This window comes from Homo sapiens, chromosome 9, assembly GCF_000001405.40.
Source record: "Homo sapiens chromosome 9, GRCh38.p14 Primary Assembly".
Lineage (NCBI taxonomy): Eukaryota > Metazoa > Chordata > Mammalia > Primates > Hominidae > Homo > Homo sapiens.
The window spans coordinates 70417415-70434229 of record NC_000009.12 but is presented as its reverse complement, the minus strand read 5'-3'; the positions used below and the strand labels follow the sequence as shown (position 1 = coordinate 70434229).

General features: G+C 47.7%; 1 long non-coding RNA gene across 5 annotated transcripts in view, besides 4 other annotated features; it reads right to left on the bottom strand.

Moving 5' to 3' along the window:
• KLF9-DT (KLF9 divergent transcript) overlaps positions 1-16815 on the bottom strand; it is a 136304-nt gene that overhangs the window by 116264 nt on the left and 3225 nt on the right. The window lies entirely within an intron of this gene.
• Positions 13787-13876: a silencer, noted in NCBI's record as "silent region_19943". NCBI's record gives its function as "represses an Ori minimal core promoter by ATAC-STARR-seq in GM12878 lymphoblastoid cells {active_cell/tissue: GM12878}" and the evidence as "EXISTENCE:reporter gene assay evidence [ECO:0000049][PMID:35858748]".
• Positions 14704-15425: an enhancer, noted in NCBI's record as "H3K27ac hESC enhancer chr9:73033721-73034442 (GRCh37/hg19 assembly coordinates)". NCBI's record gives its function as "activates a minimal SCP1, AML or CMV promoter by ChIP-STARR-seq in naive H9 embryonic stem cells {active_cell/tissue: H9 hESC(naive)}" and the evidence as "EXISTENCE:reporter gene assay evidence [ECO:0000049][PMID:30033119]".
• Positions 14807-14856: a silencer, noted in NCBI's record as "silent region_19942". NCBI's record gives its function as "represses an Ori minimal core promoter by ATAC-STARR-seq in GM12878 lymphoblastoid cells {active_cell/tissue: GM12878}" and the evidence as "EXISTENCE:reporter gene assay evidence [ECO:0000049][PMID:35858748]".
• Positions 14957-15266: a silencer, noted in NCBI's record as "silent region_19941". NCBI's record gives its function as "represses an Ori minimal core promoter by ATAC-STARR-seq in GM12878 lymphoblastoid cells {active_cell/tissue: GM12878}" and the evidence as "EXISTENCE:reporter gene assay evidence [ECO:0000049][PMID:35858748]".

Sequence of the window (16815 nt, the reverse complement as noted above, 5' to 3'; positions counted from 1 at the left end):
AGTGAGACTCTGCCTCAAAAAAAAACAAAACAAAACACAACAAAAAAAACACACATGATACTAACATAAAAACAGGCTCAAAGACCAAGGAACAGAATAGAGAACCCAGGCCGGGCACAGTGGCTCACACCTCTGTCTCAAAAAAAAAAAAAAAAAAAAAAAAAAAGAGAACCCAGAGATAAATCCACATATTTACAGCCAATTGATTTTCAATTGAGAACATTCAGTTGGGAAAGGACAATATCTTCAATTAATGGTGATGGACACTTAGGTTGATTCCATATCTTGGCTATTGTGAACAGTGCTGCAATAAACATGGGCACATGGATCTCTCTTTGATAATGCTGAGTTCCTTTCTTTTAGGTATATACCCAGCAATGAGATTGCTGGATCACATGGTAGATCTATCACTAATTTTCTGAGGTACCTCCATACTGTTTTCTCCATACTGATAGGAAGATCTACACTGGGAAAACTGGATAACCATAGGCAGAAAAATGAAACTAAACCCCCCATCTCTCACCATATACAAAAATCAAATCAAAATGGATTAAAGGCTTAAATGTAAGACCTGAAACTATGAAACTATTAGAGAAAAACAGTGGGAAAACACTTCAGGATACTGGTCTGGGCAAAGATTTTTTGGGTAGGACGTCAAGGACAAAGGCAAGAAAAGCAAAAATAGATAAATAGGATTGCATCAAGCTAAAAATGCTTCTGCACAGCAAAGGAAACAATCAGCAGAGTGAAGAGACAACCTTCGGAATAGGAGAAAATATTTGCAAACCATGCATCTGACAAGGGATTAATAAGCAGACTATGTAAGAAATTCAAAGAACTCCATAGCAAAAAAAAAAAAAAAAAAAATTCATCTAATTTTTTTTTTTTATTATACTCTAAGTTTTAGGGTACATGTGCACATTGTGCAAGTTAGTTACATATGTATACATGTGCCATGCTGGTGCGCTGCACCCACTAATGTGTCATCTAGCATTAGGTATATCTCCCAATGCTATCCCTCCCCCCTCCCCCCACCCCACCACAGTCCCCAGAGTGTGATATTCCCCTTCCTGTGTCCATGTGATCTCATTGTTCAATTCCCACCTATGAGTGAGAATATGCGGTGTTTGGTTTTTTGTTCTTGCGATAGTTTACTGAGAATGATGGTTTCCAATTTCATCCATGTCCCTACAAAGGACATGAACTCATCATTTTTTATGGCTGCATAGTATTCCATGGTGTATATGTGCCACATTTTCTTAATCCAGTCTATCATTGTTGGACATTTGGGTTGGTTCCAAGTCTTTGCTATCGTGAATAGTGCCGCAATAAACATACGTGTGCATGTGTCTTTATAGCAGCATGATTTATAGTCCTTTGGGTATATACCCAGTAATGGGATGGCTGGGTCAAATGGTATTTCTAGTTCTAGATCCCTGAGGAATCGCCACACTGACTTCCACAATGGTTGAACTAGTTTACAGTCCCACCAACAGTGTAAAAGTGTTCCTATTTCTCCACATCCTCTCCAGCACCTGTTGTTTCCTGACTTTTTAATGATTGCCATTCTAACTGGTGTGAGATGATATCTCATAGTGGTTTTGATTTGCATTTCTCTGATGGCCAGTGATGATGAGCATTTCTTCATGTGTTTTTTGGCTGCATAAATGTCTTCTTTTGAGAAGTGTCTGTTCATGTCCTTTGCCCACTTTTTGATGGGGTTGTTTGTTTTTTTCTTGTAAATTTGTTTGAGTTCATTGTAGATAATTCATCTAATTTTTAAACAGGCAAATGATCTGAAGAAGACATACAAACCCAACAGGCCGGGCACAGTGGCTCACACCTGTAATCTCAGCACTTTGGGAAGCCACGGTGGGCAGATCACTTGAGGTCAGAAGTTCAAAACCAGCCTGGCCAACACAGCAAACCCTGTCTCCATTAAAAATACAAAAATTCTACAAAAATTAGCCGGGTGTGGTGGTGCACACCTGTAATCCTAGCTACTCAGGAGGCTGAGGCAGGAGGATCACTTAAACCCAGGAGGTGGAGGTTGTAGTGAGCCGAGATTATGCTGCTGCACTCCAGCCTGGGCAACAGAGCGAGACTCTGTCTCGAAAAAAGAAAGAAAGAAACTCTGGTACATATACACAATGCAGTACTATTCAACCTTTAAAAAGAATGAAATTCTGTCATTTGCAGCAACATAGATGAAACTGGAGGTCATTATGTTAAGTGAAAAAAGCCAGGCACAGAAAGACAAATATCATGTTCTCACTCCTATGTGGGAGCTAAAAAAGTTGATCTCATGGAGGTAGAGAGAAGAATGATGGTTACCAGAGGCTAGGAAGGGTAAGGGTGGGGGAGGAGGATGAAGAGTAGTTAATGGGCACAAAAATATGGTTAGATAGAAGGAATATGTTCTAGTGTTTAACAATGCTATTACTCATATGGAGTCAACTCATTCTTCAGACAAACAGAACGTGTCATGTGCCAGGCACAGAGTAAGGAGATATAAATAAGGTGGTTCATCCCAGTGACAGGCATTCCAGACAAACCCCTGCCACTCTACTCATGTCCTCCGCCATATTCCCCATCACCTCACTTGCACATGCTACCATGCTCCAGTCCGACTTCACAGAGAAAACAGATGCCACTAGGCATGAATTCCCATGGCTTTTCTCTTCTCCATCTCCAAACTTCTCCAAATTTTCAGCTAGGCTCACATCCTTTTAAAAAAATAAAATAGGCCAGGTGCGATGGCTCACGCCTGTAATCCCAGCACTTTGGGAGGCCAAGGCAGGTGGATCACTTGAGGTCAGGAGTTTGAGACCAGCCTGGCCAACAAGTTGAAATCCCATCTCTACTAAAAATGCAAAAAATTAGCCAGGCATGGTGGCACACGCCTGTAATCCCAGCTTCTTGGAAGCCTGAGGCAGAAGAATCACTTGAACCCAGGAGGCAGAGGTGGCAGTAAGACGAGATCATGCCACTGCACTCCAGCCTGGGTAACAGGGCAAGACTCGGCTCAAAAAAATAAATAAAAAAATGAATAGTGACAAGGTCTCACTATATCGCCCAGGCTGGTCTTGATCTCCTGGGCTCAAGCAATCCTCCCACCTCAGCCTCCCAAAGGGCTGGGATCACAGGCATGAATCATTGCACCCAGCCTAGGCTCATATCCTTCTTTCTACCTCCAAGGAAAACATGGCTTTCCTTTTCCTTCCTGGGTCCTTGAGACTCTGTTCCCTTCTCTACCTTGTTTTATCAATGATCTCATCCTTCATATATTTTTAATTTCTTCCCAATGACTAGCTCCTTCCCCTCAATTGAAACATATTCAAGTATGTACAATCTAGAAAATTATTCCCATCATCTTCCTTCCCTCGATATACCCCTACATCTGCTATTCTCCTTAACCTGCCAACTTCTTGAAAACTCATGCCATAGTCTCTGATGATATGTGTTTACTCCAGTTCACACCTCAGGTCATTGGAGTTTGACTAATGCCCCCACTCATCTACTAAAACTTTTCTTCCTAACTGTATCTGTTAGGACTTGGCACCCGTAATTCCAGCTCTTTGGGAGGCAGGAGGATAGTTTGAGGCCAGGAGTTCAAGACCAGCCTGGTCAACATTGTGAGAACCCGTCTCTATCTAAAAAAAAAAAAAAAAAAAAAAAAAAAAAAAATCAATCAATTGATCAATCTATATATCTTTAAGGAATACTTTTGGCTGCAAATAATAGAACATTCAACCAGCAATGGTTTAAACACAAACAGTACATTTCTTCTCATATGACATGCCCAGAAGTAGGTCATTGCTGGCAATACTTAACAGATGACAGCGCTCTGGGTTGATATCTCAGAAATCCTCTTGACTTTCTAATCATGCTCATAACAAATCTAAATATCATATCCTCATGCAACTGTATTCCAAGACAGGAGACCTGAAAAGTGGCTCAATTAACAGAATTTCCCTGCATGTAACTGATTCTCAGCATGGAGGAAAGGCTTTCCTAGATGCTCTTATATAAACTTTGCCCTTATCCCTCTGCTCTGAAGTTTTATTTCCCTCCAACATTCTTACGTTGATACCTAATCACCAAGGTGATGGTATTGGAAGGTGGGGCCTCTAGTAGGTGATTACGTCATGAGAGCTTCACCCTAGTCAATGAGATTTGTGTCCTTATGAAAGAGGCTTCAGAGAGCTTCCTCCCGTTTCCACTCTTCCCCCAAGTGAGAACACAGCAACAAGATGCCATCTTGGAAGCAGAGAGCAAGCCTTTACCAGACATCAAATCTACCAACACCTTGATCTTGAACTTTCCAGCCTCCAGGAGTGTGAACAATAAATTTCTATTACTTATTTATTTATTGAGATGGAGTCTAACTCTGTTACCCAGGCTGGAATGCAGTGGCACAATCTCGGCTCACTGCAACCTCCACCTCCCAGGTTAAAGTGATCTTCCCACCTCAGCCTCCCAAGTAGCTGGGACTACAGGCATGTGCCACCACGCCTGGCTCTTTTTTTTTCTTTTTTTGAGACTGAATCTAGTTCTGTCGCCCAGGCTGGAGTGCAGTGGTGCAATCTCGGCTCACTGCAAACTCCACCTCCCGGGTTCAAGCAATTCTCCTGCCTCAGCCTCCCAAGTAGCTGGGACTACAGGCACCTGCCACCACGCCCAGCTAGTTTTTTGTATTTTTAGTAGAGACAGGGTTTCACCATGTTAGCTAGGATGGTCTCGATCTCCTGACCTCGTGATCCAACCACCTCGGCATCCCAAAGTGCTGGGATTACAGGCATGAGCCACTGCGCCCGGCCTCATTTTTGTATTTTTAGTAGAGACGAGGTTTCACAATGCTACTCAGGCTGATCTCAAACTCCTGACCTCAAGTGACCCGCACACCTTGGCCTCCCAAAGTGCTGAGATTACAGGCATGAGCACCTGGCCCAAATTTCTACTATTATAAATTACCCAGTCTGTGATATTCTGTTATAGCTGCACAAACTAAGCCAAGGCCCTTCTTGACAGGTTTATAGTTCCTACCACTCCCAGAGGTAGAATTGGATGATGATTGGTGCTCTGACACATTCCGTACCATTTTGCTCTCGCTTCTTTGCTCATGCTGTTTGCCAAATGTGGGATGCCTCTCTTCTCCTCTTCTAATCATCCTTCACAACTTAGCTCAAATACAACTTCTACTGGGAAGCCTTTACCTACCTACCCACAAACGGCGCTAATCACTGATTCCTTGGAATCCTAGAGCTCTTTGCGTAACTTTTCATGTTGCACATACCACATTGTGTTGTAATTATTTGGACAGATGTCTTCTACCACACTGTGAACTATTTGGGAAGATATACCATGGTAGTCATTAATTTGCTGTACATCCAATATGTCCACTTAAAGTTAATATTATACCATTCACATACCATTTAGAAAATTTGTTATCACAGTAAAAGTCCATTTACCCCTCTCCTATCCTTTATACTATGATGGTCACATATAGTGCATTTATTTGTTATAAACCCCACAAAACAATGTTATAATTTAGGTTTTAACTAGTTAGTATGTATTTTAAAGAAATTGCTGTTGGCCGCGTGCGGTGGCTCCTGCCTATAATCCCAGCACTTTAGGAGGCTGAGGCAGGCAGATCACGAGGTCAAGAGCTCAAGACCATCCTGACCAACATGGTGAAATGCCGTCTCTACTGAAAATACAGTAGTTAGCTGGGCGTGGTGGTGCGCACCTGTAGTCCCAGCTACTCAGGAGAATCACTTGAACCCAGGAGGCGGAGGTTGCAGTGAGCCGAGATCACTTGCCACTGCACTCCAGCCTGGCAACAGAGAGAGACTTTGTCTCAAAAACAAACAAAAAAAAAGAAATTAAAAAAAGAAAAAAATTGTTGGCCGGGCGCAGTGGCTCATGCCTGTAATCCCAGCACTTTGGGAGGCCAAGGTGGGCGGATCACCTGAGGTCGGGAGTTCGAGACCAGCCTGACCAACGTGGAGAAACCCCGGCTCTACTAAAAATACAAAAAAATGTAGCCGGGCATGGTGGTGCATGCCTGTAATCCCAGCTACTTGGGAAGCTGAGGCAGGAAAATCGCTTGAACGTGGGAGGTGAAGGTTTTGGTGAGCCAAGATTGCACCATTGTGCTCCAGCCTGGGCAACAAGAGCAAAACTCTGTCTCAAAAAACTTGTTTAAAAAGTCTTTTATCTTCACCCACATATTTACCATAGCTTTACCTAACATATCCTGATAAAGACCTCACTTGGTTCACACTCATATTAGTTTCAATTGCTATGTCACAACTTACCAAAAACTTGGTGGGTTAAAATCTCAAAAACATATTACCTTACAGCTCTAGAAGCCAGACGTCTACAATGTGTCTGCAGAGCTTTATTCCTTTTAGAGGCTCTAGGGGAGCCTGTTTCCTTGCCTTTTATGCTACCAGAGGCTGCCTTCATTCCTTGTCTCACAGCTCCTCCTCCATCTTCAGAGCCAGCTGTATGGCATCTTCTCTCTCTCCAGCCTCCCGCCTCCTTCTTATAAAATCTTGTGATTACATCAGGCCTACTCTAATAAGCCAAAATAATCTCTCCAGGCACAGTGGCTCACACCTGTAATCTCAACACTTCAAGAGGCCGAGGAGGGAGAATTGTTTGAGCTCAGGAGTTTGGGACCAGCCTGGGCAACAGAGCAACATGCCATCTTTAAAAATAAAATTTGGGCCGGGTGCAATGGCTCACACCTGTAATCCCAGCACTTAGGGAAGCCAAGGCAGGTGGATCACTTGAGGTCAGGAGTTCGAGAACAGTCTGGCCAACACGGCAAAACCCGACCCTACTAAAACTACAAAAATTAGCTGGGCGTGGTGGCAGGCATCTGTATTCCCAGCGACTCGGGAGGCTGAGGCAGGGGAATCACTTGAACCTGGGAGGCAGAGGTTACAGTGAGCTTAGACCACACCACTGCACTCCAGCCTGAGCGACAGAGCAAGACTCCATTTCTAAATAAATAAATACATTGAAAAACAAAGACTCTGAATTTAGTTACATCTGAGACATTCCTTTTACTACCTAAGGTGACATTCACAGATGGGGGATTAAGATGTGGATATCTTTGGGAAGACATTATTCAGCCTAGTATTGTTCACAACATTTATCACTAGTATCTAGCACAGTAACAAAGATATATAGAAGGTGCTTGATAAATGTGCATCAGTTAAATACATCTTTGCTAAAAAGTGGTCTGATGACCGTTAGTATTAGCATCACATGGGAGCTTGTTAAAATGTAGAACTCTGGCCCACCCCAAACATACTGAATCAAAATCTGCATTTTAACAAGATCCCCAGGTGATTCTTATGCACAGTAAAGTATGAGAAGTACTGAATTAAATGATCTCATCTAACAGTTAAAATAAAAATAGAAAAAAATATATTAAGCATCTGTAACAGATACTTTCAATGTCTTCACGTGCTCTGACCCACCTCCAATTCCAGCCACAGCTGCATTAAAGATTGCCGAGAGAGTGTAGATTTCTGGCTGACGCCCCCCTCCACTGTGTACTTTCTGCCCCAGGGACTTTACCAAAGGTATGAGAAGCTAGTGCAAGGGACAGAACTCCTGGAGCACCCCTTCATCAGTGAGGGCCCAGTGCTGGAGGGCAAATCCCTTTGTCTCCCATTCTTGGGATGGACAATTCTGAGAAGCATTTCTATATCAGAGATTTCAATAATGCTCCTGATGGTCACAGTGGCTCACACCTGTAATCCCAGCACTTTGGGAGGCCGAGGCGGGTGGATCACCTGAAACCCCATCTCTACTAAAAATTAGCTGGGCATGGCATGCCTGTAATCCCAGCTACTCGGGCGGCTGAGGCATGAGAATCGCTTGAACCCGGGAGGCGGAGGTTGCAGTGAGCCGAGATCGTGCCACTGGACTCTAGCCTCGGTGACAGAGCGACACTCCATCTCAAAAATAAAGAAATTAAAGAAAAAATAATGCTCCCAAATATTGGCTTTTCTTCCTTCCCTGTGTCACGCTTCCTGCTCCCTCACTCCTGCTTCCTGGGATCACCTCCCAAATAAATCACTTGACCCCAAGTCCTTGTCTTCAGCTTAGCTTTCCTGGCAATCAAAACCAAAGCAGTGTTTATTAAATACCAGGTGCTCTACCGTAAGTTTTATATGATTTATCTCATTTTATACTCACAACAACACTGTATTTCTGCCCTATTTTTACCCTCTTTCAGATGAAGAAACCTTAAAAGCAGTTAAGTAATTTGCCCAGTTTCATAGAACTGACATACGACAGAACTGAAATGCTAGAGTCCAGGCAGCTTGACCCTTGGGCTTATGCACTTCCTCAGTAAGTGCCTCCTCATGAGAACATACCAGGGCTTACATTTATATAGTATTTTCCAGATTTAAACTGAAAAGAATAAATCTCCTCATTCTCTAAACTGCTGGCCAACTGAAAGGAGAAATGGACCAGAAGTCCCCAGTAATACTGAAGACTAGACTTAAGCATAAAGCAAGTTCATCTCTCGTGACCATGGAGAGAAAAGGTGAATGAAGTGGATGGAGCATGCTGCAGAGGACCGGTGGGTTGGTTGCAGAGGCTTAGTGGGAAGAAGGATGAGTTCTTCCTTTCCAAGAATATCCCATCCGCCATACCTTCCCCATGTGACTCAGGAGAAGGAGATCCACCTCCAGATCCAGGAGTACCTCCCAACCAGGACAGAGCTCTCTTAGGAGGGTACATGTGAGCAAAGGCTCAGCGAAGGTCAGGATGTGAGCCACGCTGAGATCTTGGAGAAGGGCATTCCAGGTAGAAGGAAGAGCCACTGTGAATGCTTGTAAGACAGGAGTCCAGCTGGTTAATTCCCGGATGAGCAAGGCGGGTAGTGGGGCTGGAGCGGAGTGAGGAATGGAGTGCGGTAGGGGAGATCAGGACGTCTCCTTTTGGGCTCACAAGGAGGCTTACCCCACTGTGAGGACAGCAGCAGTTTCTGAGTGAGACTAGAGTCACGGCTGTGTTTTGAGCAGAAGAGTGCTGTGACCGGACATGTATTTTAAGAAGAGCACTTAGCTCTTAGCAGTTGTGTTGAGAAGAGAAGCAAGGTCAAGGGTGGAGGCAGGCAGAGCAGCTAGAAGGCTCCTGCAGTTATCGAGGCAAGAGAGGAAGGGGCACGGCATGGCAGTGAAGGTGAGAAGGGCCGGGTTGTAGAGATATTTGGAACATAGGACTAACAGGAGTTCTTGATGGATGATTGGCTATGGGGTATGGGTATCCATTTAAAAGAGAGATGAAGGATAACTCATTGGCTTTTGTCCTAAGCATCTAGAAGCACAGGAGTGTCTCTATCTAACATGGGAAAAGCTGCCAATAGAGCCATGCATTAGGAGGGAACGATCACAGTTCAATTTTAATATGTTGAGTTGGAGATGTCCATCATATATTCAAGTGGAAATGATGACTAGATAGTTGGATGGTCACGTGTGAAGCTCAAGAGACAGGTGTGGGCCAGGCGTAGTGGTTCACGCCTGTAACCCCAGCACTTTGGGAGGCCAAGGCAGGTGGATCACTTGAGGTCAGGAGTTTGAGACAAGCCTGGCCAACATGGCAAAACACTGTCTCTACTAAAAATACAAAAATTAGCTGAGAATGGTGGTAAGCGTCTGTTATCCCAGCTACTTGGGAGGCTGAGACACGAGAATCCCTTGAACCCAGGAGGCAGAGGTTGCAGTGACCTGAGATCACACCACTGCACTCCAGCCTGGATGAGAGAGCAAGACTCCAAAAAAAAAAAAAAAAAAACAAACAAAAAAACAAAAAAAAAAAAGAAAGAAAGAAAGAAGAAAGAAAGAAAGAGGTGTGAATTGAAGATAAAAATATAAAAATTGGGTCAACCCTGGCATGTAAAAGGTATTAAAGCCTGTCACCCAGGCTGGAATGCAGTGGTGCAGTCATAGATTATGGCAGCCTCCAACTCCTGGGCTCAAGCAATCCTCCCACCTTGGCCTTCCACGGTGTTGGGATTATGGGTGTGAACCACGGAACCAACCCTGAAGATATTAAAGCCTTGAGGCTGCATGAAACCAGGAAGGGAGTGAGTATGGATGTGGAAGAGAAACAAGGACAGGGCTCCAGGGCAACTCGACTTTAAGAGAGCCTGGAGAGGCCGGGAGCAGTGGCTCACGCCTGTAATCCCAGCACTTTGGGAGGCTGAGGCAGGCGGATCACCTGAGGTCAGGAGTGTGAGACCAGCCTGGCCAACATGGTGAAACCCAATCTCTACCAAAAATAGAAAACTTAGCCAGGCATGGTGACACATGCCTGTAATCCCAGCTACTCAGGAGGCTGAGGCAGGAGAATCACTTGAACCCGGGAGGTGGAGGTTGCAGTGAGCTGCTGAGATTGTACCACTGCACTCCAGCCTGGGTGACAAGAGCGAAACTCTGTACAAAAAAAAAAGAAAAGAAAAAAAGAGAGAGAGAAAGCCAGGAGAAGAACTGAAAGTAGCAAAGAAGAAAAAGAAGGAATCCACCTCTCTTCCTTTTCTTCACTTGGCTCCTAGGACACCATAGTCTCTCTTTTCCTCTATTTCACTGTCCACTCCTTAGTCTTCTTTGCTGTGATGTGAAGTGAAATAACTGCCCAATAGACTTGGCATCATGGAGGTCATCCGTGATCCTGAGAAGAGTAGTTTCAGTCCAGTGACAGAAATGAACGTCTGATTGGTGTGAGATCAAGAGAGAACAGGAGGGCCGGGCATGGTGGCTCATGCCTGTAATCCCAGCACTTTGGGAGGCTGAGGCGGGTGGATCACCTGAAGTCAGGGGTTCGAGACCAGCCTGGCCAATATGGCGAAACCCCGTCTCTAATAAAAATACAAAAATTAGCCAGGCATGGTTGTGCACACCTGTAGTCCCAGCTACTCAGGAGGCTGAGGCAGAAGAATCGCTTGAACCCCGAAGGCAGAGGTTGCAGTGAGTCGAGATCACGCCATTGTACTCCAGCCCGAGCGACAGAGTGAGACTCCGCCTCAAAAATAAATAAATAAATATAAAAAGAGAACAGGGGGTGTGCACATATAGACAGTACATAGAGGTAACTCTGAGATGTCTGCATACAAGGAAGATGGCAAATGGAGTAACAGTGCAGGAGGATATGGGGTCAAGGGGGCACAGACGCAGAAGTATACATATAAAGACAGGAGGGAGGACACTTTTTTGTGCTGAAGTGAATGATTTAGAACAGAGCAACAACTTGATAAGCAGGAGATGGGGTAATTTTAGAAACAGTCATTAAATAGCCTAGAGGGGAAGGGAACCTGGTGCCACATGGAAGGATTTGCCTTAGACAGGAGCAGGAACAGTATATCAGGTGACAAGAGAGAAGGCAGCGTCTGGGTGGAAAGGTAGGCAGGATGGAAGATATGATGGTGGGAAGAGGAGGTAGTTCTTGTCAAATTGCTTTTATTTTCTCAGTAAAATAAGCAGCAAGTTTCTCAGCTCAGAGTGAGGAAGGGAGGGGTGTTGGAAGTTTGAAGAGAGAAGGTGCAATATAGTCATTTCAGCGTGTGGGAAAGTAAACTGACGAGGGAAATGCACACGGACAGTGTTGAGAGCCCACTTGAGATGTATGATCATAAATTTAGAGTGACAACAGTTAGCCCTGTCATTTTTGTCCAGTGTGTTAAGCTGGACAGAATCAAGAGTTTGGCCAGATGGTCCCAGGAATGAGAGAGTAGGGGGAGGTGCATGCGAAAGAATGATATAGTGGAAGACCATGAAATCTTAAGGTGGGTAGGAGAGATGTAAGAATGAAAGGTCAATGACAGACAGTGAAAAAGTAGACTGGAAGTCAAAATAGGGTCAAAGAATTGTTCAAATGTGGTTATTTGAGCAAATAAGCTGGGAGAGAAAGAAGTGTTGGTCAGGAAGGAGGATGATGGTCGGAGGTGGTGCTGTTATTTGGTGATGAAAAGATTGAAGATACCCATGTGACAGTGGGGTGGAGGAAAAAAATGATTGCTGTTCAGGTACCAGGGTTTCAGATAGGTCATTAATCTATTGGGATGCTAAATTCACCAAAAATGTTAATAGGAGTTGGGTGGAGGTGGGGGACTGTGAGTCAGGTGCTAGAATCTTCGGGGAATGAGGGGGAGTGCAGGAGAGCCTGCAGATGACAGCCACAAAGCGGAGGTGGTATAGTCTGATGGCAGGTACTTCAAAGCAGCTGGGGTGGAGGGGGAAGAAAGAAGAGTCTATCTTGGTGAATAATTCTCCTGCCAAGGGTTTGTTCTGAATTCCACTCTCTAGTATCTCACCAAGCTTCCTTCCCTCTTTTGGCAGCTGAGAGGCCATCCAGGGTAAGGATTTTTTCAGGGTCGTGGGGTCAGAAGGAAACCAGCAAACAGTCAGGACTTTTATTCCCTCTTCTCTGCTACCAAAATACCAAGGCAGTGTTTTGGGTATTTAAAAGAACATTTTAAATGTCCTTGTTTGTTTCTGCCTCTGTGCAACATTGTGCTGGGAAGGACAGGGAGCTGGTAACCATGGCAGTGGAGCAGAGGGTGGTGGTGAAGAGGTGGTTTTTAAATGGGGTGAACTTCAGGCAGGCGGCACCCAGAGCTGGAACCCCCACGGCCTCCTTGGAGTCCTTTGTTCATTCAGCTTACTTAGGGAGAGAGCCTGCATTCTTCCCCGCTGTGAAGCAAGCTTTGAAAGGAAAGGTTTTGCCAGACTCCATAAGGAGAGGGTGTGTCCCTAGGAGCAGGTTTTGGGGTTCTGCCTGAAAACCTTGGTCGGCAGAGAATTTTGGGCACCCTGTTACGAACAGGACAGTCTGTGATGGCAAAGAAGCCAGCTCTGCAGCATCCTGGATGCAGAGTTCTTACACACCGTTAGCTGTCTCACCACTTCTCCCTGGACAGGTGGCCACTCGTGGGGGTGGCCCAGAATCCTGGCCAAAAAAGACAGCCAGGCAGGGCCCCCACAGGAAGGTAGCTGGCAGGGGAGTCAGGAGGAGAGGAAGGGGGAGGGAAGCAGTCACCTCTTCCACGTTCCTGGATAGGGAGCCTTAAGACCCTTTTCAGGACAAATAAGTGCCCCCCAAAAAGCGGACACAGGGCAAGGCAGGACAGGACAGGGCAAACCTGGGGCACAGCTCGGGGCCAGGGAAGTCCCATGACTGCAGTGTTCAGCTGCAGGTTTCCCAGCTGCTCTGGGCGGGAAGCGGCGCCGGGAGATGGGGGCGGGGAGAAGGGAGGGGAAAAGAGGAGGAGGGAAGTAAACAGGAGACCACAGAGAGAGCCAGTTCCCGGCGTTCAGAGAACACTAGCCGCCTCCGGTCCCCGGTGGGTGGCTGTATGTGTGGAAATGAAACTGGGAGGAGGAGGGAGAGAGGGAAGAGCGGGCACGCACTTCTCGGCTGTCATCCACCTTGCCTCTTCCGACCCTCCAGCCCGCTCCCCACCGGGGTAGGGGGTTGGGGGAGGTGGGAGGAAAACAGTTCAGCAAACGCCCACCTCCAAGTACCAGTAGCTGGTTCAGCTGTCGGTGAATCAGACACTGTCTCAGCAGCTTGTCACCTGCGCTTGGGAGGGGAACAGAGGGCAACCTTGGAACTTGGGAGGGGGAGGTTGGGAAAGTGCAGGATCCAGCACTGGGCCTGGGCCTGGGCGTAGGGGTGACGCCTACGGCTCGGAAAAGGGCTATCCACCTCCCTACACCTACACACGTCTCGACCCAGTACCCGGACGCCGAGTAGAGGGGGTGGGACAAGAGCATGGGGGCCGTACAGAAGGGGGAACTGGAAGAAGGGGAGGGGAGAATGGGTTGGGGGTGTGCTGCGGCGGGAAGCGCTGGGTGCCGGGCGGGCGCGGCCGCGGGGAGAGCTGCTGCCCGGTGCCTGCCCGCGCGAGGTTATGCGAGGTAACCGAGCGGAGAGGAGGAGGGAGGCGGCGGGGGCCGCGGGCCGGGGTGTCTGGCACTCGTTGGACAAAGAGATGATGAAACGTGAGCGCTATATTTACCAAGGGGGTGGAGACGGGGCGGGGGGGGCGGAGAGTAAAAAGGACAAACTGTTCCACAACAACCACAGGAAACACAGCCCATTCTGACTCACTGGGAGGGCCACACCGAACCCCTCGCAGGCTTAGCCTGAAGGCAGACGCGGGGCGCAGGTGCTCCCGGGACCGGACCGAACCTGGGCTGGGGCTGGATTGATTTATAAATAAAGGCACATTCGATCCAAGAGTGCGTGTGTGCGTGCGTGTGGTTCTTGTGGGGTAGGGGAGAGCACGGAATGGCAGGAATGTTTCCTAACCCCTTGGCCGGGCCATCGCGGGAGAGATCTGCCGGCAAACTCTGGGAGCGCAATTCCTGCAAAGTCATCTCCTCCCGCACAGCCTGGCCGGCCTGCCCGCCACGCCCCGCCCGGGGACAGCAGCACCCGCCTCCCCCACTCCCTCCCCACCCCCGCAGCCCATGGAGTTGGGGTGCGGTGCTTGCTATGTTTAGAAGCTGATGTCATCTCGACACCCTACTCTGCAGTGTTCCTAGGAGGACCGCAGGGCAGGTTTTCCTCTTCCTCGCGGGCGTGGGGGATGGAAGGTGGCCAAGGTGCCCTGCCCTCTCCCCAACACAGGAACCCCACACCCATCTACCCGGGAGATTAAAAGAAAAAAAAATGCAACACCGCCAGAGTTATGAAACAGGGTGGCGGGGGCGGTACGTGCACGCGGAGAGCGCAAAGCAAGGGCCTGGGCCGCGCGGGGCTCCCCCCCGGTCCCCGCCCACTCCCACCCCCGCGCTCCCGGGTGCAGGGGCTAATTTCAAGGTTAGCTCACGTGGGCGTGGGCGCCCGGAGCTCCTTGCACGAGTTTGGGGCGGGTTCCTGGTCCCCCAATCTAGGGCAGTTTGTTCAACTGCAGTAAAGGGAGCTTGATGTTCCAGCAGGGAAGGGATTTCTGAGAACTGGGACTGTCCTCAGATGAACTCGCCTCCTCAGGCTGCTGCGGCGGCGGCCGCCTGCGGAAGACTTTTTAAAAGGGCGATGCCAGGCCGGGGCGCGCGGTCCACGAGTGGCTGAGTCGCCCGCCAGTCCGCGGCCGGAGCCGAGCGCCCGCCCCCGAGCGCGGGTGATTCACCGAGTGCCGCGCTGGGCCGGTCGGAGCGCGGGGGGCTGCGAGCTAAACTTATCCTCCTGCATATGCATGAACGGGCGGCCTTTCTGCGCTGCAGAGGAGAGGGCTGGAGTTTTGCGGAAGGCTGCTAAGTGGGGCGGGAGCAAAGTAGGGCGGCGTGCAAGTTTTCGCGCTTGCCTGAGCGCCCTTCCCCCTCCAGCCCCTGGGTGTTAGCTGTCATTATGGCCACGGGCGTTCCACCAGATCGGGCTTTACCTGATTGTATTTCAAAATCCAGGAACATCGCCATTGTTGGAAGCTTTATCCCTTTAGCCTCTCCCCTCCTCAAGCTCGCCTCCTTCTCTAATTCCCCTGCTTTCAACAAAATGAACACTGGTTTCCTCCACATATGTTCCGTGTGCCTAGGTGGGGTCGCTGGAGCTGGAGGGGCTGGGCCCTGAAAGGGAGAGGTCTGGATGCAGCCCAGAATGAGGTCCAACACGTGATCCTCTACCCCCAGTGGGCCATCTGTTCTCCTCCTTCCTTCCCGCCTGGAGGCTGGCAGTTCTGCCCGGCACGGTCCACCCCTCCCAGCAGGAAAGAGTGAGAAAAGCCAGAACTGGCAGAACCCAATACCTACAGAGTGTGATTTTAGCCTGAACTTCCCTGGTCCTTGAGCAGGGGTGACACCCGGCAATCTGTATTTTAAATCGAGCGCCAGGTGATTAGCTCCACCCTGCAAGGTGGGGAAACCCTGCCTTGGGGCACAGTTTGAATAAAAATCTCCAGGGGAGGGGCCTGGGAATCTGTGCTGCATATGCCAGGAAGTACCTTACTCCCCGCTAGGGTGAAAAATTTACCTTGGGCCAGGCGCGGTGGCTCACGCCTGTTAATCCCAGCGCTTTGGAAGGCAGAGGTGGGCGGATCACCTGAGGTCAGGAGTTCGAGACCAGCCTGGCCAACATGGCGAAATCCCGTCTTTACTAAAAATACAAAAATTAGCCGGGCATTGTGGCGCATGCCTGTAATCCCAGCTACTGGGGAGGCTGAGGCAGGAGAATCGCTTGAACCCTGGAGGCGGGGGTTGTTGCAGTGAACCGAGATCGTGCCATTGCACTCCAGCCTGGGCGACAGAGCGAGACTGTCTCAAAAATAAATAAATAAATAAAATAATACAATTTACCACGGAAAAAGAATAGGTTATTTGAACCCCCATTCCACTTTCTACAAACCAGCTTGAAGAAAGAAAAATCGAGACTATAAAATTAAGGAAGGGATTTTGAACACATTTATATTTGTGTCTGCTACCCATTAAATGTTGATTTAAGGTTTTCTGACCTTCACTGCCATAAAGAGCAGTATTTGTAGATGTACAGCAGATGAGATGGTATTTAAAGAACCCAAGTCTTGCCCCAGTTTTTTTCTCTAGGATTTTTTTTCTTTTGTTTTAGATCCCTTGAGTGTTTGGAGTTTGGGAGGAACTATTGGAGATTTATTAATCTAATCTCATCAATTTACAGATAAGGAAATAGCTCCCAGAGATTGTCTGAGGTTAGAGTTTATCTCAGACCCAAAGGCCAGCTCCTCACAGTGGTCTACAACGCTGAAACAGCTGACTGTAGGCACTACTTCTTATTAGAGCTAATAATGATAATACTGTAATTATTTTAGGA